The 21,513-nt window shown below is 39.9% G+C and overlaps 1 protein-coding gene across 1 annotated transcript in view, besides 1 other annotated feature; it reads left to right on the top strand.

Moving 5' to 3' along the window:
• The window catches only part of PUDP (pseudouridine 5'-phosphatase), a 442,316-nt gene that overhangs the window by 410,509 nt on the left and 10,294 nt on the right, over positions 1-21,513 (top strand). Inside the window, exon 7 of the transcript XR_007068202.1 lies at positions 16,101-16,228. The gene's annotated coding sequence lies outside the window, so the exon portion shown is untranslated. The remainder of the gene's footprint in view (positions 1-16,100; positions 16,229-21,513) is intronic.
• Positions 18,657-18,706: an enhancer, noted in NCBI's record as "active region_29381". NCBI's record gives its function as "activates an Ori minimal core promoter by ATAC-STARR-seq in GM12878 lymphoblastoid cells {active_cell/tissue: GM12878}" and the evidence as "EXISTENCE:reporter gene assay evidence [ECO:0000049][PMID:35858748]".

Below are 21,513 nucleotides of genomic sequence, written 5' to 3'. Positions count from 1 at the left end.
CCATCACTTCTGTGGCCCCACCTCCTACTACTCTCCCTCCCTCCCTCCCTCATCCATGGCCACTCTGGGTGCCTAGGGCATTCCAGGAATGCTCCTCCTTCAGGGTCCTAATACCTGCTGCTCACTCTCACTGCAAAGCTCTCCCAGAGTTATTACCAGGTTCTAGAAACAATCCCCTCCCCTCCCTTCTTGAGGTCTTTGCTCAAACGTTGCCTTCTCAGAGCAGTCTTCTCTCACCACTTTATCTAAATTGCAACTCCCTACCCCAAGCACTAGCTACTCCCCTCTAATGTTCTTCATAATATTTCTTGCCAACTGTATTTGCTTTCTCGGGCTGCTTTAGCAAATCAGCACAAACTGCATGGTTTAAAACCAACAGAAATGTATTTCTTCATAGGTCTGGAGGCCAGAGTCTGAAATCAAGAACAGATGAGCTGCCTTCGAAGCCTCTAGGGGAGGATCCTTCCTTATCTCGTGCAGCTTTTGGTGGTAGCTGGCCTTCCTTTGCTTGAATCTAAATCTTCCTTTAGCCTGAATCCCATCTTGAAGATCAGCACAGCACACAGATCTTTTTTCTCTACATTGTCTCGTCCTCTGTGTGTGACAGATGTCTCTCTGCCTCCTCTTTTTTAAAAAAACTGTTATTTTAGGTTCAGGGTTACAGGTGCAGGTATGTTTAGGAAAATTGTGAGTTTCAGGTGTTTTGTATACAGATTATTTCATCATGCAAGTAATCAGCATAGTACCTGATAAGTGGTTTTTGAATCTTCACCCTCCTCCCACTGTCCACCCTCAAGTAGGCCCCAGTGTCTATTTCTCCTTTTTTTTGTGTCTATCTGTCCTCAATGTTTAGCTCCACTTATAACTGAGAATGTACAGTTATTGGTTTTCTGTTCCTGTGTTACTTCACTTAGGATCATGGCCTCCAGCTCCATCCATGTTGGTGCAATGGACATGATCTCATCCTTTTTTATGGACGCATAGTATTCCAGGGTGCATATGAACCATGCTTTCTTTATCCAGTCTACCAGTGATGGATATGTAGGTTGATTCCATGTCTTTGCTATTGTGAACTGCGCTGCAATGAACATATGTGTGCATATGTCTTTATGGTAGAATGATTTATTTTCTTTGGCTATATGTGCAATAATATCTGCTTTCTTCTTGTAAGGATACACATGATTATATTAGGGCCCACCTGGATAATTCCATTACCTCAAAATCCATAATTGCATTTTTCATATAAAGTATGAAAGAGCCTGTTTCATATAAAGTAACCTTTCCTGGTTCCAGGTATTAGGACCTGATATCTTTGGGGATAGGAGGGCATTATTCAGTCTACTAGACCACTTATTTATTTTTCATATTGATTGTTCATTGTATCTTCCCTCAGTATAATACAAAATTCACTGAGGATACGAGTTTAAATTTTTTCTTATTCTTTCACTATATTTCTCATCTAGAATATACTAGAAGCTCAATAAAGTTTTCAATGTTTTTTTTTCTTGAATGAAGGAATGAACATTTACAAATGAAGTGTGTCGTTATTGGTTTAGAAATACCTTAATGGAGTAGATTTTTTTTCCTTTTCTTGCTTCTTTTTTTTTTTTTTGAGACAAAGTCTTGATCAGTTGCTTCAGTGCAGTGGCATGATCATGGCTTACTGCAGCCTCAATCTCCCAGGCTCAAGTCATTCTCCCACCTCAACACCCTGAGTATCTGGGAAAACAGGTGCATGCCACCCTGCCCAACTAATTTTTTTTTTTAATTTTTAGTAGAGATGAGGTCCTACTATGTTGCCGAGGCTGGTCTCAAATTCCTAAGCTCAAGCAATCCTCCCTATTTGGCCTCCCTATTTGGAAAGCTGTACACATCAAGTGTGTAAATGGAGTGTGAACAACACTATTGTAAAAGTATAAAGCAGTGCATGGAACAGATTAAAAGATTAATTCAAGAGAGGGATGAATTACTACAAGGTGGAGGGGAGTGAAGGTTGGTTGCAAAAGTATACACAGGAGACTGCAGTTGTTAGTAATATTTTATTTCTTCACTTAAGTGGGTAGATCATTATGTGAAACATTGTAGCTTCTATGTCTGAATTTATTTCTATGTGATACTTATGTAAAATAAGTAAATACACAAAGAGAGAAAGGTATGCAAAAATAAGTATATTTTGTTTCTATGGAGGTTTTATCTTTTCTGCTTTCCTCAGCATTTTTAATGACCTCATAACATTTTTTTTTTTATGTTGAGGCAAAACGTTTTCCTTCACTTTGCAGTGTCCGAGGTGGTTGGTCACTGAAAACATCTGGAGAAGAGGGCAGTGTGGACAGATCTGTGTCCCAAGTGTAGATGGTCTCAGCCCAACACTACCTGAACCATGGAAACATATTTTTATCTCTTTAACAGAATGCAATCTTAACTTGGTTAAAAAGAAACCAGCCTGCCCTGAGTAAAACTGGGCCTCTGAGAACCATGAAGTGTTGTGAGGAGTACAGGAAAAGTTCATGATATGCACCAGCTTCCTGAATATCACTGGCTCACATAGCAAAGTCATTGATAAGCAAGAGGTTAAATGAATTATTTTGATGTAGAACAGATTGTGGTTGGGAGCACTTGAATACTATGTAACCAGTCGGATCCAGCAGGCATTCTGTATTAATATGATTCATTCATTTGTAAATTGCTTGCAATGCATATTCCAGCTTTGTATTGATAAACCGCAAGCATCAGGCCTCCTATACGTAATTTGTCTGTGCACCTGATTCTCGTAAATCCAAGAGAAGCCCCCAAACACATGGCCTTTGCTAGCACTCCACTGCTGCAAAATCTAAGGCAACATTCTTTAATTTTTGTTTAATTATTATTATTATTAGAGACAGGGTCTCACTGTGTAGCCCAGGATGGTCTCACTGTGTAGCAGGGTGTGACCATGGCTCACTGCAGCTTCAAAATTCTAGGCTCAAGCAATCCTCCCACCTCAGCCTGCTGAGTAGCTGGGACTACAGGCGCACACCACTAATTTTTTTCATTTTGTAGAAATAGGGTCTTGCTACATTGCCCAGACTCATCTTCAACTCCTGGGCTCAAGCGATCCTTCCTCCTCGGCCTCCCAAAGCACTGGGATTACAGGCGTGAGCCAGCCCACCGGGCCTAATAATATTTTTAATAGACAAATCATAATTGTATATGTTTATGAGGCACAATGTGATGTTTTGCTGTATGTATGCATTGTAGAATGATTAAACTATTAACATATCCATCATCTCATTTACTTATCATTTTTGGTGATAAGACGTTTGAAATTTAATCTCTTACCTATTTTGAAATATGCAATAAATTTTTATTAACTATAGTCACCTTGCTGCATAAGAGATCTTAAAAACTTATTCCTCCTGTCTAGCTGAAACTTCATACCCTTTGGATAACACCTCCCTGTTTCTTCCCTCCACTACTCAACAAGGCAACATTCTTGAAATGAGATTTTTTTGTTGAGCTTTGCAAAGGTGGAAGCAGTCTGGATCCCTGTCAAGGCGGAAACAGCTGTCCCAGAAACGATCTTTGCTTGGCCAGGCGTGGTGGCTCATGCCTGTAATCCCAACACTTTGGGAGGCCAAGGTGGGCAGATCATTTGAGGTCAGGAGTTCGAGACCAGACTGACCAATATGGTGAAACCCTGTCTCTAGTAAAAATATGAAAATTAGCTGGGCATGGTGGCAGGCACCTGTAATTCCAGCTACTCCAGAGGCTGAGGCAGGAGAATCACTTGAATCCGGGAGGTGGAGGCTGCAGTGAGTCGAGATCCTGTCACTGCACTCCAGCCTGGGCAACAGAGCGAGATTCCATCTCAAAAAAAAAAAAAAAAAAAAAAAAAGGCTTTGCTTTAGGGCAGCTCCGAGTTTAAACTGTGGATCCCGCTTCTCATCATGAATTTGGCCCAATCTCTCACCTTTCTAAATCTCAGTGTGTTCCAATCAGATCCGCAGCCAAACCTTTCCTTCACCCTTCTGGTCTGAGCCGCTATGGACCATCTCTCTCTGGATTCCTGCAGAAGCCTCCCCCATACCAAATACCCTCAGCACAGCAGCCGAAGGGAGCCTTTGACTGGGAAACCCTGTTCATCTGATGATGTCAGCCCTTGACTCAAAACGCTGCAGTGGCTACCATTTCTCTAGAGTCAAGGCCAGAGTCCCCATGAGGTTCTGAGGCGCCGCCCCCATCAGGCCTCCTCCACCTCTACTTCACCCCTGTGACTTTATTTCCTCCTGCCGATGCCCCTAGCTCCTCCTTCCCATTCCTGGAAGGAGTCAGATCCCCCTGGATTGGCTGCTCTGGTCTGGTCTTCACCGGGACGAAGCGTGCCTCTCCCGAGCAGACTGGCTGGCTCCCTCCTCTGCCTCAAGTCTTGCTCCTTTCCCCCATACCGTCTCCCTTAAAAGCCTTACTTAATCCCGTCACCTGGTGTCCACTCCCCATACCCAGCATTCCTGTTCCTTTTCCCTGTAGAAGACAAGGCTTCAAGCGTAAGTGGATGAGCTCCATGCAAAGGCTGGAGTCAGCACAGGCCCAGTGGCTCAATCCATGCCCCTTCTCATCACCCTGCAGTCTTTTACCTGGTGTTGGCTCCACATGCCACCTTTGCGCGTGCAATTTGAGAGACCGTTCCTGAATGCACCATTGCTCCTTTGAAATGTTTATTTATGGTCCGTGCGGGCCGCTGACATTAGCATCCTTTCCTGGCTGTGGACCACTAATGTATCTTTAAAGTTAACCTACAGTGCAGGAAAGAAAAATGGTACTCAGTGGTTAGACTGGTTTCATAAAAAATATATGAAAATTAAGTGGAAGAAATTTATCAGAGACCTCAGATTACATACAACTTTATTAATTCATTTATCCAGTTATAGTCTCAACCATCTTATTTACAGTTACTCCCTCACTGATTTCTCTCCTCTCCTTTTCTTTTCCTTCCTTCCTCCCTTACTTTTACCTTCCTTCCTCCCCTCCTTCCTCTCTTCCTCCCTCCCTCCCTCCTTCCCTTCCCTTCTCCTTCCTCCCTCCCTCCCTCTCTCCCTCCCTACCTCCCTCCCTCTTTCTCTCTCTTTCTTTCACTTACCTCACGTGTGCCTCTAATTTAAGCTAAAAAGAAAATATAAATTAATGAGTTTTTACTTTGTTCAAAAGCTTTTAGTGAGATTTTACATTTTAATAAAGAATGTGTGTGTGTGTGTATGAGAGTATGCACATATAAGCCCACACAAGTTTGTCAGGGAAAACAGTGGTTTTCCTGTGGTTGATAAAGGAAAACAGTTCTAAACCTACAGACAAATGAGGCCTCCTCAGTGAGCCAACCCCAGGACACGAAAATGCAAAGCAGAGAGGGCAAATCTATCTTTGGGAGCCCAGAATAATAATTTTTAAGCTGACAGCATTCTGAAAGGTGCCTTTCATCTAATGATGCAAAATACTGGGGAGGAGAGATGCCTGGAACAGCCTCCTACAATTTCCCCCAAAAATTACTATCATAAACTGAACTGTTGAGAAAGTGATTTTTAAATAAAAGAATATAAAGGGATCAAACTATTCCCATCCTGCTCTCCAGAAATAACTTTTGACAATTAGTTGTGTATCTCTTCATAAGTGTTCTGGGCTTTGCATATATGTATTTATATATGAAATATGATGGAGTACAAATGGGACCTGTCTACAGTCGTTATATTGTAACTTCTCCTGCATTTAACATTATCTATTGGCATTTTAAATTATCATCACACTGAAATGTACAGGAACTCAGTATGAAGTACCGGAGGTTTTAATGGCCTTCCTTCCTTCCTTCCTTCCGCCGTCCCTTCCCTCCTTCCCTTTTCCCTCCCTCCCTCCCTCCCTCCCTCCCTTCCTTCCTTCCCTCCTTCTTTTCTTCTTTCCTTTGGTGGACATTGACTTCGTTTCCAGCTTCTGCTACTAGAAACAAAAACGCTGTGAAATATAATTATATGAACCTGTTTGTACATTTGGTTGAGTGTAGCTGTAGCTTATTTTGCAGGTTATACTATGAAAATGACATTGTTATTTGAAAGGGCATATACATTTTGAATGTTGAACAGGAACAGCCAAGAACCATATTTTCAAGGGTATTTGAAATGTGTTAATCTTTGCTAATGGGATGAGTGACAATGGGTATCCCATTATTTTAGTTGGTTTTTCACCAGTTTTTAGTCCACTGAGATTTTGTTAAGACTCAGACAGCTCGTAGCTTAAGACTGTATCCCCTGGGCTGGATGCAGTGGCTCATGACTGTAATCCCAGTGCTTTGGGAGGCTGTGGTGAGAGGATTGTTTGAGGCCAGTAGGTCAAGATCAGCCTGAGCAACATAGCAAGACCTTGTCTCTACAAAAAGTTAAAAGAAATTAGCTGGGTATGGTGGCACACACCTGCATTCTCAACTACTCAGGGGGCTGAGACAGGAGGATAGCTTGAGCCCAGGAAGTTCAAGGCTGCAGTGAAATATGATAGCACCACTGCACTCTGGCCTGGGCAACAGTGTGAGACCCTGTGTCTAAAAAAAATAAAATAAAATAAAAATAAAAAGACTACATCCCTTGGCAAGGGTTTGGACTATAGATGTTCTACAGTTGAGTAAGCCATGGCTTTAGAAACCAAGTGAGTTGGTACCCTGATATATTGATGTTCTCTATTGGAAATTAAAGATCCAACGTCAGCTCTCAAATCCCACTAGCTGCCAGATGTTTCTGTTCAAGTCTTGAGTCTTGAACTTCACAGTTCTTTGTGATGTGCTTTGTGAGTTTCTTTTCAGGTCTGTCACTTGGTGCCTCACTTCTAGCACTGTGGGCTCCAAGAATAGTGAACTTAGGTCTCTACTCAAGTCTTCAGCTCTTAGCATGGGTGGTTTCTTAGTTGGCAATAATTTACCTTTATGTTGGATAACTCTTACTTATTCAACAAGATTCAGCAGAAAGGTCACCCCCTCAGCCAGACCTTCTCTGAACACCCAGCAGCGATATTCTTTGCTATTTCTATTCATAACCTCATACTGTAACCTTTGTTCTATTGACTTGTGGGTCTCGCTCCTAGACCAAAGGTTTCCCATGAGGGAGTGTGCTTCTCAGAAGCACACAAAACCAACTAAAAGAGGATGGGAAGACAGGATTGGAACTCAATTTGTTTTTCCCATCATTTAGTGATTCCCAGTTTTGTGATTGTGTAATGGCTAAGAACACACATCTTGTGTGAAAATCCATGCTCCACTCCTCCCTTGAGTGTAGGCTGTGCTTCGAGACTTATTTCCAAGGAGTACAATGTGCAAAGGAGAGGAAGAAGTCATTTTACAGTGGATAAACCTGACAGTCATGGCCTCAGCCAGGCGATCATGTCAGCATCATCAGTGGGAGGTCAGGGATTCTCTGGAGTGGGTGCTTCCAGACCTCACCAAATTGTCCTATTGGTTTGAGCCATAAAGTTACCTCAAACTGTTACCAAGCACCAACAGGAGATTTGTCAAAGGTCAGGGGCACCTCCACTCATGTTGGGAATAACACTCAAAACCCTAAGGAAATTGAACACTGAAACAAAGGAGTCTTAGCAAAGCAATTTTACTTCTGCGCAGAGGGTGCTTCTCCTTGGCCAGTCACCATGAGAGCACACCTGAACTAAGGGGCATGAAAGCCTTTATTCCTGATGCAAGTCCTGCCCCGGTATCCTTTTCCCATTGGCTGGGGTCGGGTGGCACAATTTGGACTAATCCGGGTTGGCTAAACATTTGAACTTTCTTTAGATAAGGTGGGCACGTAAGAGAGAGAGGGTAAAAGGGGAAGGGCTGTCTGCAATGAGCTAGAGAGCTAGTCTTGCTTCCAAATAAGGAAAGGAATGTGAGCTGGTACTGATAAGCCTGGTACTGTGGCGTGTCCGGGCGTGTAACGAAGGCAGAAAGGAAAAAAGAGAAAAAGGAAAAAGGAGTGTGTGTGTATGTGTGGGGAGGTACTATGAATTAAAGAATAAAGGATTGATCAGGCTATTTGAAGAGAAACCTCATCATATCCCACAACTCAGAATCCCTCCATGGTTACAAAAATGTGAACCCCGGATATTTGAGACAGGTCTGAGTTAATTTAGAAAGTTTATTTTGTCAATGTTGAGGACACGTGTCCGTGACACAGCCTCAGGAGGTCCTGACAACATGTGCCCAAGGTGGTCAGAGCACAGCTTGGTTTTATACACTTTAGGGAGACATGAGACATCAGTCAACGTATGTAAGATGAACATTGGTTTGGTCCGGAAAGACGGGACAACTCAAAGTGGGGACAGGGCTCCCAGGTCATGGGTAGATAAGAGACAAATGGCTGCATTCTGTTGGGTTTCTGATGAGCCTCTCCAAAGGAGGCAATCAGATATGCATTTATCTCAGTGAGCAGAGGGGTGACTTTGAACAGAATGGGAGGCAGTTTGGCCCTAAGCAGTTCCCAGCTGGACTTTTCCCTTTAGCGTAGTCATTTTAAGGGCCCAAGATATTTTCCTTCACATAAGTCGTGTTGAGAGTTGTACCCTTAATGTGATGTGAGGAACACGGCACTTTGCCTCTGTGATCTTCCTCCCCCAAACACCTAACCTTAGTCTAATCATGAGAAAGGCGCCAGACAAGCCCAAATTGCAGGGCATTCTAAAAAATACCTAAGCAGTTCTTCTCAGAACCATCATGGTCATAAAAAGCAAGGAAATTCTGAGAAACTGTCACAGCCAGAGGAGTCCAAGGAGACTTGATGACTCACTGCAGCGTGGTATCCTGGGTGCGATCCTGGAATAAAAAAGGGACATCAGGGAAAATCCAAGGACATTGGAATAATGTCTGGAGTTTACTAAAAGTAATGGGTGACTTCGTTGCAACAAATGTGCCATGGCAGTCCAAGATGCTAACGGAGGGAAAGGGATGTGGGGTAACCAAGAGCTCTCTTTAATAGCCTTTTCAATATTTTGTGAACATAAAAGTATTCCAGAATTAAAAGTTTAAGCCTGTATCTCACTGCCTACGTGACTTTCGGCAAGTCACATAATCCCTTTGTGCCCTGGTTTTCTCATCTGCAAAATGGGGATAGTATTAACATCATAAAGGGCTTAGAACAGTTTCGGGAAAATTGTCCAATAACATAAAGTAAATAAGCATAAGCATGTTGCTGTAAATAAGCATAAACATGATGTGATTGCTTCCTATGTTAGGATTGTGCAATTCTAATGTCTAACAGTGTGCGTGTGTGTGTGTGTGCATGTATGTGTGTGTGTGTTATGTTTCTCTATGTTGCCGAGGCTGGACTCAAACACCTGGCCTCAAGTGATCCTCCTGCCTCGGCCTCCCAAAGTGCTGGAACTACAGACTTGAGCCACCTGGTGGGAGATAATTGAATCATGGGGGGCGGTTTCCTCCATGTTGTTCTTGTGGTAGTGAATAAGTCTCATGAGAGCTGATGGTTTTATAAGGGGAAACCCCTTTTCCTTGGTTCTCATTCTCTCTTGTCTGCCACCATGTAACACATGCCTTTTGCCTTCTGCCATGATTGTGAGGCCTCCCCAGCCAGGTGGAACTGTGAGTCCATTAAACCTCTTTTTCTTTATAAATTCCCCAGTCTCAGGTATGTCTTTATTAGCAGCATGAAAATGGACTAATACAGCAAATAAACCTCCTAATAAATAAACCTCCTAATAAACCTCAACCTCCTGATTGAGACTTGGCTCAGTCATTTTCTTTGATTTGCAGGCATTCAGTCTCAGGTTTCACAGTGACATCGATAGCTTGAATCTGTTTGTTCAGCTGAAGACCACCTGTGTCATCCTGTGCCACCTGTGCTGTTGCACCACCTCTCTGAGGGTGCCTAGCTCTGGGAAGCAGGTAGCCCCCCATAATTCTACAGCTGGTGTGCATGCTGGGATGACAGCCACACCCACTGGCCACAGGGATATAAAAATAGGTTGGCCATCTGACTAAGACAGCTGGTTTTAAAATTATTTCTTCTCCACCTACGACCATGTTCCTCCTTCTCAAATATGATTGGTCGACTCATTAAGCCACCTGGATCCAACAAGACAGGAGTGCACACCCAGTAGTAAAAAGTGCTGAGGAATAAATTCTCCAAAATTCTTCGAAGGGGAAATTTGCCTTCTTTGAAGTCAAGATCCTTAACAACATGTTAGATTTCTTCCATGGTAATTGGTCTTTTTAGTTAGTCTAAATTTTCTTAATTTATAAATTTATATTTTAAGCATGGATTTTATACAGATTTTAAAACTTAATAGGATAGTGTTCTATTAAGTACTTCTAAGATTCTGTCATGTCATCCTTATCTATATAATTATAGCCCATTTATCAATTCTATTGTTTTCTACTTTAGCAATCTCTCTTTCTCTCCATCTCTATTTTTATCTTTTTTTCCTCTTGAACATTTTTAAGAGGGAGTCACAGATTTATACCTGAATCTGTTTATCAGTTTTATGATTTTTTCATTTTGTCATCCATTAAATTTTACCTGTGTGTTAGCATTATTTCTTCTTCTTTCCCAAGAAAAAATTTTCAAATATATATACCTTTAAAAAACTACATAATCGTAATTTATCACACTGGTGTAAGTTCTTTCAAGAATATAGCATTTACATTCCATTTTGTAATGGTGTTTCTTGGAATTATTTAGACTTTAAAGAGACCCTTTATTTAGCACTTCTCCTCTCATGCCTTACTGCCTTTCATAGTAAATTGTAAAAAAATTGAAATTGATTTTAATTGATTGGTCTCTTATTTAATATAATTTAATTGATTAAATGAATCGACTTCAATTGACTGGGCTCTCATTTTATTGGAGCACATCTCCAAGTGTTTATGTATTTCCAGGAAGGCTTCCTGAGTAATATGTTTTCAGTGTCCTTACACATTAAAAAAATCTCCCTTGGCTGGTTTTAGATGTGTGTGACATTTCTATAACTGTGTGCTTTATGACCATCTCAACTTGAGAAGAAGAAAATGTTAAATCATACCAGGATTTGCTTTAGAATATATATGTTTTCCTTTTATTTTTACTTGACAGGTAACAATTGTACATATTTATAGGGTGCAGAGGAATATTTTGATACATGTACACAATGTGTCATGATCAAATCAGGTTAATTAGCATATCTATCACCTCAAACGTTTATCATTTCTTCGTGTTGGGAACATTAAAAATCCTCTCTTCTAGTTTTCTGAAAATACACCCTAAATTATTGATAATCATGGTTCACCCTACAATGCTACAGCACACAGAAACTTATTCCTCCTATTTAGTAGTAAGTTCATATCCGTTAACCAACCTCTCCCTAGTCTCCCCTGCTCTCTGTGCTTCCCAGCCTTTAGTAACCACAGTAGAATGTATACTGTTAACATATGTACCAGAGGCCATGTTGGGACACACGGCCATGCCCATTTTAATTCCTAAGTGTTGTTATAATGTGTCACCTTCAGCATGATCAAGAAGAAGGGCCACTGATGTTCAAACCTGCTACTTCTCTAAAGTAGGAGAAGTAAGGCAATGAGAGATAAACCATCCTCTGAAAGGTGAGAGATTTGAGAAGGGAGGAAAAGAGGACACGTTCCTGCTTGCTTTGTGTGTTCACGAGCTCCAGGGAGGATTATAAAATACCTTCATACAGGTGCAGGTGTCTTTTTGATACAATGATTTCTTTTCCTTTGGGTAGATGCCCAGTAGTGGGATTGTTGGATCGAATGGTCGTTCTATTTTTAGTTCTTTGGGAACTCTCCATACTGTTTTCCATAGAAGTTGTACTAACTTACACTCCCATTAACAGTGTATAAGAGTTCCCTTTTCTCTGCATCCTCACCAACATTTGTAATCTTTTTGGCTTTTTAATAATGGCCATTCTTGCAGGAGTAAGATAATATCTCATCATTGTTTTAATTTGCAAGTCTCTGATGATTAGCGATGCTGAGCATTTTTTCATGTGCTTGTTTGGCCATTTTTATGTCTTCTTTTGAACAATGCACTATTCACAATAACAAAGATATGGAATCAACCTAAGAGTCCATCAGTGGATGATCGGAGAAAGAAAATGTGTTATATATACACCATGGTCTTAAGAGAAATAACTCAGAAACAAGAAGTCAAATCCCACATATTCTCATTTATAAGAGGGAGCTAAATAATGTGTACAGCTGGACATAGAGTGTGAAATAATAGATATTAGAGACTGGGAAGGATAGGAAAGTGAGAAGGGGGTGAAGGATGAGAAATTATGTAATGGGTATAATGTACATTTCTCAGGTGATGGATACACTAAAAGCCCAGACTTCACCACTATACAATGTACCCATGCAACATAACTGCACTTGTATCCACTAATATATGCAAGACAAGACAATATATGCCTCCACTTTATCATAACCTTGGGAATTCCTCATCCATCCTGTAGGGATGATATTCTGAGAATCAGTTCCATTCTCTCTGCCCTCCCCTGGTGGCATCCTTGGGGAGGAAACACACCTGTGCCAGTTCTATCACCATCCATGGCCATGTCATTGGGGACCAACCGTGCTCGACCCAAGAGGAAGCGTTTACAGACCATGGGCATGTGATGAAAATTAGGGGAAAGGACGGTTAGCAGTTGCCTCTTGTTCCATTGCCAGTTTGTTTATTTAAAAAGAACTCCTTCTTTTTCTTTCAAGTACCTGGTATTAAGAGTGCTCCATGCTGCCAGACTGCAGGGTTGGGTTGATTAGAAGAGACTTGTGAAAAGGTCTTCTAACTCCTTCAACCCATATTGATAAGCTGCAGTTTCTCCGCAGCTCATGGTGGATGGGGGGTGGGAACCCTCACTCTTACAAATATTTCTCCAAGATTTAACCGAGTGAGATCAAAAAGCCATCTGGTTAAACAATCCTGCATACAAGAGCAGTTCTTACTTTAATTTAGAACACTGCTTAATGCACAAATTATTAAAATATAAAAACTGGGAGATCAAATGGAGCTCATTTAAGATAAGTCCTGAAATCACAAATTTCACTTAACCTTGCAATGAACATATGCTAGCAGGATTTTCCTACTTTTGTTGGTTCCCCCACCCTTTCCTCCTTCCTTTTTTTTTTTTTTTTTTTTTGGAGAGAGAATGAGTGGTTTCTAATTCATGTTTTTGTATTTTTCTTTCCAAATATCATGAAAATGTCATGAAGAATAGAAAAGAGAAATGAAAACTGTACAGCATACAGTTGCAAACAGCAGCAATTCATAAGTTTTATGAAGTATAAGTTTGCTCATTTTAGTAAATGCATAATGAGATGGTTTTATTATTCCTTGACCTTTCAGGGTTTGAATTTATTCACTTTATTGTTTGAGATATTGTAACTCAGGCAACATGTTTTTGTAAGAAATTCTGAAATTGTGCTTTTTTCCATCTCTGCCATGGGATGTGACTTTTGACATTATTGCACATTAAATTACATTATACGTGAGGTTGCTTTTATTTGGAATTGTTATATTTTAGGCAGTGCCGTTTAACGGAAATAAAATGTAAGGGGAAAAGATTAAAATGCAAGATAAAATAAGGCTAATCTTGGAATAAAACAGTAACAGATTTCTTTCCAATTTTGAATTAAATCTGCCATCGACATATTTTGCTGAACCCAATCAACTGAGCTTCTTAAATTAAAAAAAAATCTTTTTGAGTAATATGGGGAACATTCATAAATCCAACACTCATGTTTAACAAATACTAACATTTTTGCCGTATTTACTGAAGCTTCAATTTTCCCCAGAAATAAAATATAATATATACAGTTGAAGCCACACTTACATTTTACTTTTTCATCTTCCCTAGAAATACCCACTGTCCTCAAGTAGTGTCAAGTAGTGGAGAATCTATCTTTCCAAATCAATCAGGCGTTTTTTTGTTTTGTTTTGTTTTGTTTTGTTTTGTTTTGTTTTGTTTTTTTGGTGGGGTTTTGTTAGGTTGCCCAAGATGGACTCGAACTCCTGGGCTCAAGTGATCTTCTCTCCTCTTGCCTTAGTCTCCTGAGCCAATCACATTTTTATGTAATATGCATACATCTCTAAAAACAATCTGTAGTATAGCTTTCTCTTTTTAACAAAAATGCATAAATAATATCAAACTATATATTTATGCCACTTGTTTTTTTCTTCTCTTTTTTTTTTTTTTTTTTTTTTTTTTTGACAGAGCCTCTCTCTGTCACCCAGGATGGACTGCAGTGACACGGTCATAGTTTATTGCAACCTCAACCTCCTGGGCTCAAACAATCCTCCAACCTCTGCCTCCTGAGTAACTGGGAATACAGGCATGTGCCACCATGCCTGGCTAATTTTTTTTTTTTTTATTGTTTTTTGTTCGTTTTTAGAGAGATGGAGGTCTCACTGTGTTGCCCAGGCTGTCATGTATACTTTTTGAGATGTATCCAGGTTCACATATGTACATCTATTCATTTATTTTTCACTGTTGTACATATGCCCTGACATTAAGGTTATTGTGGTTTTTATTTTAACTGCAAACAATACTTTGTGTATTGTTGGTTATTTATGAGCTTTTTTTGTTTGTGTGTATGAAATTGCTAGTTTGTAATATCACAATGAGGTACATTTGCAACTTTACTAGGTATTTCCAAAATAATTTAACAGATTTACAGAATTATCAAGAGTGTGAAAAATTTCATTTTCCACTATCTTGAAAACACTTGGTGCTATCCTATCTTGTAATTCTTTTAACCATTCTAATTGGTATCAAATGTTGTTTAAAGGCATACTTTCTTAATTTTTAGGGTTTGAACAAATTTTCATATTTTTAGTTGTTCAATCTCCTTTACTCTGAATCACCTTCTTATATTACTTGATCACTTGGTTCTAAGTCTTCTGTTTCCTTATTGATTTGCAGGAGTTCTTGCGGGAGTAGGAAATAATCCATTTAGGGTTTGATTCCTTTTAAACCTCTGTTCGTCTATGGCTTATCTTTTAGCGTAGTTTCCAATGTCTTCTTTTATACAGAAACTTTTGACTTTCTTGCAGTTTGGTACTCCAATATTCTCCTTTAAAATTTATGCATTTAGTATCTTCAGGAAACTTTCTCCAGTCCAAGATCATAAAAATATTTTAATATACTTTCTTCTAGTTGTTTGGGCATTTTTCTTTTAAATTTAGATTTTTTTTTTTTTGAGACAGTCTCACTCTGTGGCCCAGGCTGGAGTTCAGTGGTGTAATCTTGGTTCACTGTAACCTCTGCCTCCCGGGTTCAAGTGATTCTTGTGCCTCAGCCTCCTTAGTACCTGGGATTACAGGCGCGTGCCACCACCTCTGGCTATTTTTTGTATTTTTAGTAGAAATGGGGTTTCATCATGTTGCCAGGCTGGTCTTGAACTGCTGACCTCAAGTGGTCCACCCGCCTTGGCCTCCAAAAGTGCTAGAATTACAGGCGTGAGCCACCATGCCCAGCACAAATTTAGATTTTTAATCCACCAGATTTTTAATTCTTTTTTTTTTTGGTAGTGCGATGAAGGGATCTGCCACCCTCTCCCCCCATTTCTACACACAATTGCTTGTTGACTAGCCTGTTCCTTTCCCACCGTTGTACACCAAATTTCTGCCATATTGTCAATGTCTTTTTATATATTCCTCTATTTCCTGTCTCCTTATTCTGCTAAGTGTAGTCTATCCAGTGTTCCACCAATCTTTCTAATGTCTTGATATTTACTAGGAGATTTCCCCATCTTTATTAGTATTCTTCAATATATTATTAGCGATTCTTGGCCACTTACATTCCATATGAAATAAGAATCAACTTGTCCAGTTTAAGGATATGCTGTATTGTGATTTGATAGGTGATTTCCATGGAATATAGAGCTTAATTTAAGGATGACAAACATCTTAAAGATATTGAACCTTCCCTTTAGTGAACATCACGCACCTATCCATTTGTTACATCTTCTGTTATGTCCTATAACACATAAAGTTATTTCTCCTCATAATGGGCTTTTATGTCCTATAGTAAGTATATTTTAGATAACTTTATATCTGAAATGTTTTGTATTTTTCCATTGCCCTCTGTTCTTTTAGAACCACAACATTTGGAGATTACCAACATGGTTTTCAGCCCTCAGCTTTGGCGAGACTTCTTCCTTTTCATTCTTTTCTGGGCAAATCTAAACCTTTGGAGAAGTAGATGAGTGAAGTCAATTGCAAAGGTAAGAGAGATATTCTGGGCTCTCCTATAACCTCTTTTAGGACAGAAATGGTTGGCAGGGATGTCTATCAGTCATAACACCTTCACCTCACTTGGGATGGGTTGCATGAGCAGATTGCTTTCTGCTGTGTTGCAATTGCTTTCCATGAAAAGCTGGCGTAATTTCTAAAGGAGGATTTCTCACAGAAACTTTGCAAGCCTAACTTGTGTTTTTCTTCATTTTTTTCATTAAATCATGTTAAATTTATCAGCCTGAAGAAAATCTCTCAGTTGTTGCTGTCACTTACCTGAGGACTGTAGTTAAAGGTCATATGGGATATTTGCATCTTTTCTTTCAAAAATAAAATTAAATAAAGAAAGTAAATTTAAACTAATGAAAAGGAATTTGACCCAGGATATCATGAAATAATAATGTACCTCAAAGTGTGACACAAAGCTGTACCTAAACAGTTCGTTCTTGTGACATTTTCCCCAGCATGTTTTTCTTCTGATGGGCAAGGGAAAGTCTCTTTGGTTGGATTCCAGAAACAGACACTGAGGGAATCAGAGAACACAGGGCCATAGAATAGAGATATGAATTCTTTTATTCCCCCACCTTTATTGAGGTATAATCGGCAAGTAAAAATGGAATATACTTACTGTGTACCGTGTGAGGTTTTGATAAACGAGCACGTTATGAAACTTTTACTATGCACTAGGTAAATAACTTATCTATCACTGTGCATAGTTATTATTATTATTATTATTATTATTTGGGGATAGTGTGAATATTTGAGATCCACTCTCTTAAAAAATTTCAAGTAAACAATACGGTATTGGTAACTATAGTCACCATGCTGTAGATTGCATCCCCAGAACTTATTTATAACTGAAACTTTGTACCCTTTGACCAACATCTCTCCAGTGTCCCCCACTCCCCAGCCCCTCGTAACCACCTTTCTACTCTCTGCTTCTGGGAATTCAACTTCTTTAGATTCCAAATCTAAGTGAGATCATATGGTATTTGTCTTTCTCTGTCTGGCTTAATTTGCTTAACATAATGCCCTCCAGGTTCATTCACATTGTCCCAAATGGCAGAAATTACTTCTGATTAATGGCCAAATACTATTCATATTTATGTGTGTGTGTGTATATATATATATATATATATATATATATACACACACACACACATACATATATACACACATATATACACATATATATATACACACATATATATACACATATGTATATACACACATATATATACACATATATATACACACATATATATACACACGTATATATATATATGAATAAATGTATATATGTATGTATAAACATTTTCTTTATCTATTCATCTATTGGTGGATGTTTAGGTTGGTTCCATATCTTGGCTATTGTGAATAATGTGGCAATAACATGAGGGTGCAGATATCTCTTTGAGACGCTGATCTTGTTTCCCTCGGATATATATGCAAAAGTGGGATTGCTGGATCATCAGATAGTTCTATTTTTAACTTTTTGAGGAACCTCTGTACTGTCATCCATAGTGGCTGTGCCAGTTTATCAATGTGACTTATTTGAAGCTTACCATGTTGTGAAACATCCACTTCAAAATTCATCTTAAAGAATATTAATTGAGAAAATTATTGACTGTGGATTGGGCGTGCACCTAATACACTAGACAACTCATGCACTAGTGATTTGCTAAGCATATTTCTTTCTCCCAGAAAATCTGGACTTTTGGAGAGGTGGACATACAGATCAATGGGACAGGGCAGTGAGATGTTCTAGGTTCTTTTGTAACCTCCTCTGGGGCAGAAATGATTGACAGGGATATCCACCAATCTTAACACCTTCACCTCATTTGAAGCAGGTTTCATTGATTTTCAATTGCTGCATAACAAGTTACTGCAAAGTAGCAACTTAAAACAACATACATTTGCTATCTCACAGTTTCTGTGAATCAGGAATCCCTAGGCATAGCTTAGATGTTTCTATGGACTGAGCTGTGTTTCCCCAAAATTCATATGTTGAAGCCCTACCCCGCAATGTGACTGTATTTGGAGATGAGGCCTTGGACCTTAAAGAGGTAATTAGGTTCAAATGAGTTTGTAAGGTGGGACCTAATCCAATCTGGTGTCCTCATAAGAAGAGGAGTTTGGGACACAGACTTGTGTGAGGACACAGGGAGAAGACAGCGTCTACAAGCCAAGGAGAGAAGACTCAGGAGGAACCAGCCTTGCCCACACCTTGATCTTGGACTTCCAGCCTCCAGAGCATAAGAGAATAAATTTCTGTTGTTTAAGTCACCCCGTCTGTGGTAGTTTGTCATGGCAGCCTCAGCAAGCAAGAGAGCTGGTTTCCCTTCTTCAAGGTCTCACAGGCTCCAATCCAGGTGTCAGTCAGGGTCGAGGTCCCCACACAGGCCTCTCTCGGGGAAGATCTCCTCTCGTGCTTCTGCAAGTTGTTGGCAGAATTCATCTCCTTGCAGCTGTAGCACTGAAACTTCCCTTTTGGCTGTCAGCTAGCGGTTGCTCTCAGCTCCAAGAAACCACCTACGGTTTGTTCTTTGCCCTGTAGCTATCTTCATAAGCCCCCTCACAGCATGGGAGTTTGTCTCTTCTAGTCCAGAAATAGGGAGAAAGTCTTTGTTTTTTAAGGCATTTTTTGATTTTTAAAGTTTTTATAGGTTTACAGGGTACAAGTGCAGTTTTTTTACATGGATAAATTCCATGGAGAAGTCTGGACTTTTAGTGTAGCCATTGCTTGAATAGTGTACATTGTACCCATTAAGTAATTTCTTATCCCTCACTCTCCTCCCACCCTTCCACCTTTCCTGGTCTCCAGTGTCTATTATTCCACTCTTTATGTCCAAGTGTACGCATTATTTAGCTCCCACTTATAAGTGACATTGTGCAATATTTGACTTTCTGTTTCTGAATTGTTTCACTAAAGGTAATGGCCCCCAGTTCCATCTATCTTGCTGCAAAATACATAATTTCATTCTTTTTGATGGCTAAGTAGTAAATATTCCATGGAATATGTATACCAGATTTTCTTTATTCAGTCCTCTGTTGATGGACACTTAAGTTGGTTCCATATCTTTGCTATTGTGAATAGTGCGCAATGAACATACGAGTGCAAGCATCTTTTTGATGCAATTATTTTTATTCCTTTGGGTATATACCCTGTAGCAGGATTGTTGGATCGAATGGTAGTTTTAATTTTAGTTCTCTGAGAAATCTCCATATTGTTTTCCATAAAATCAACAGGGTGACCACACAGCCTACAAGGCGGGAGAAAATATTTGCAAAACTATATATCTGACACAGTGCTAATATCCAGAATCTACAAGAAACTCAAATAACTCAACAAGAAAAAAAAAATTAAAAAGTAGACAGAAGACATGAAAAGACGTTTGTCAAAAGAAGACATACAAATGACCAATAAACATGTAAAAAAAATGCTCAACATCACTAATCATATCAGAGAAATGCAAATTAAAACCACAATGAGATACCATCTCACATCAGTCAGAATGGCTATTACTAAAAAGTCGAAAAACAATAGATGTTGGTGAGGATGCAGAGAAGAGGGAATGATTTTATGCTGTTGGTGAAAATGTAAATTAATTAGAGAGAAAATCTTTGACCTCAGGGAAGGCCATATCTGCCTTTTACTGCTCCTCACCTAATCAAGTCAAATCCACCGAAGATAATTCCCCTTTTAGAGAACTCAAAGTCAACTAATTTGGAACCTTACTGACATCTGCAAAAGTTCTTTGCTGTGGCCATGTTCTGTTGGCCAGAAACAAGTCACAGGTCTCGTCCCTGCTGAAGGGGAGAGGATTATGTAGGCTGTGAGCACAAGAGGGCAGGGACCACAGGTGTTCACCACAAAGTGCTTCCAGGAGGAGTCTGGTAGGAAGTGCAGGAAGGAGGACAGAAGGAAAAGAAACCAAGAATAGATGTGAGGCCAGGTATCGGGTACTGACAGCAGAGAGGAGCCTCATCCTGTCAATACACTCAGTATTGTTCCAACCCAGAGCAGCAAGCTTTGATGCCCCATAGCTGCCAGCCACTAGTGAAAGGGAGATACAAAATCCCAGACACTTACAGCTCTCTGTGCATAAAGGGGCAATCGCTCCAGCAACCCAAGGGTATCATTCTGAAAAAGTGCCCCAGGTGCTAGCCATCAAAGGTGGAAGCATATTAAAGCCAAGATGGGAGTCCTAAAAATGGTTAAAAATGAGCCAATAGCACAGTACTTGCATTCTCTCCTACCGAAGGTGAGGATGAATCAGTCACTCTTCTTCTGGAAGTAACATATACTTCCTCTGATTATAAGATTTAATATATTCTGGCCAGGCACAGTGGCTCATGCCCATGGTCCCAGCACTTTGGGAGGCCAAGGTAGAAGGATTACTTGAGGCCAGGAGTTCAAGACACGCCTGGGCAACATGACAAGACCCTGTCTCTACAAAAAATTAAAAAATTAGCTGGGCATGGTTGTTTGTGCCTGTGGTCCCAGCTACTCGGGAGGCTGAAGTGGGAGGATCACTTGAGACCAGAAGTTCAAGACCAGCCTGGACAACATAGCAAGACTCCAGCTCTGCAAAAATTTTGAAAAAATAGCTAGGCATGGTGATGTCTTCCTCTACTCTCAGTTATTCAGAAGGCTGAGGCACAGGGGTCACTTGGACCCAGGAGTTTGAGGTTGCAGTGAGCTGTGATTGTGCCACTGCACTCCAGCCTGGGCAACAGAGCAAGACCTTGTCTCAAAAAAAAAAATACATACATACATAGAAATATATTTAAAGGAAAAGCAAATTTCAGAAATTCAGAGACTTGGTAAAGAAGGGAACAAAGATCATGTGTAATCCCATCAGCACATGGTTCACGTCTCAGTTTATCTGCTTCTGGACTTTCCTTTCGACATGCATATTTATTCTTTTCAGAGTGTCTAATTACAGAGTTGGATAGTAATTGCATTTACTATCAGGGTCCACCAAGCCATTCGTTGTAGCTGTCAGTACCAGCCTCTGCACGCTGCTGTCTACCATGAATATTTTTTCTTCAAGCAGTTCATTTCACTTTTTATCAGCATTAAAGTAAATAATCAGCACAGATATGAATTCTGCTGACACATTATCTTCACAAGTAAGATGATGATTTACCATTCTGGGTAAGTTCAGCCCAGAGCCATTCCACCAGCTTACATATAATGCTTCCCACTGAAATAATCAGCATCTTCTCAAAAATGGGGAAGACAGCTATGTAAGCGAATTGGAGACCTTTT

Source organism: Homo sapiens, chromosome X (assembly GCF_000001405.40).
Source record: "Homo sapiens chromosome X, GRCh38.p14 Primary Assembly".
NCBI lineage: Eukaryota > Metazoa > Chordata > Mammalia > Primates > Hominidae > Homo > Homo sapiens.
The sequence above is the reverse complement of the archived record's forward strand: the minus strand, read 5'-3'. Positions and strand labels throughout refer to the sequence as shown.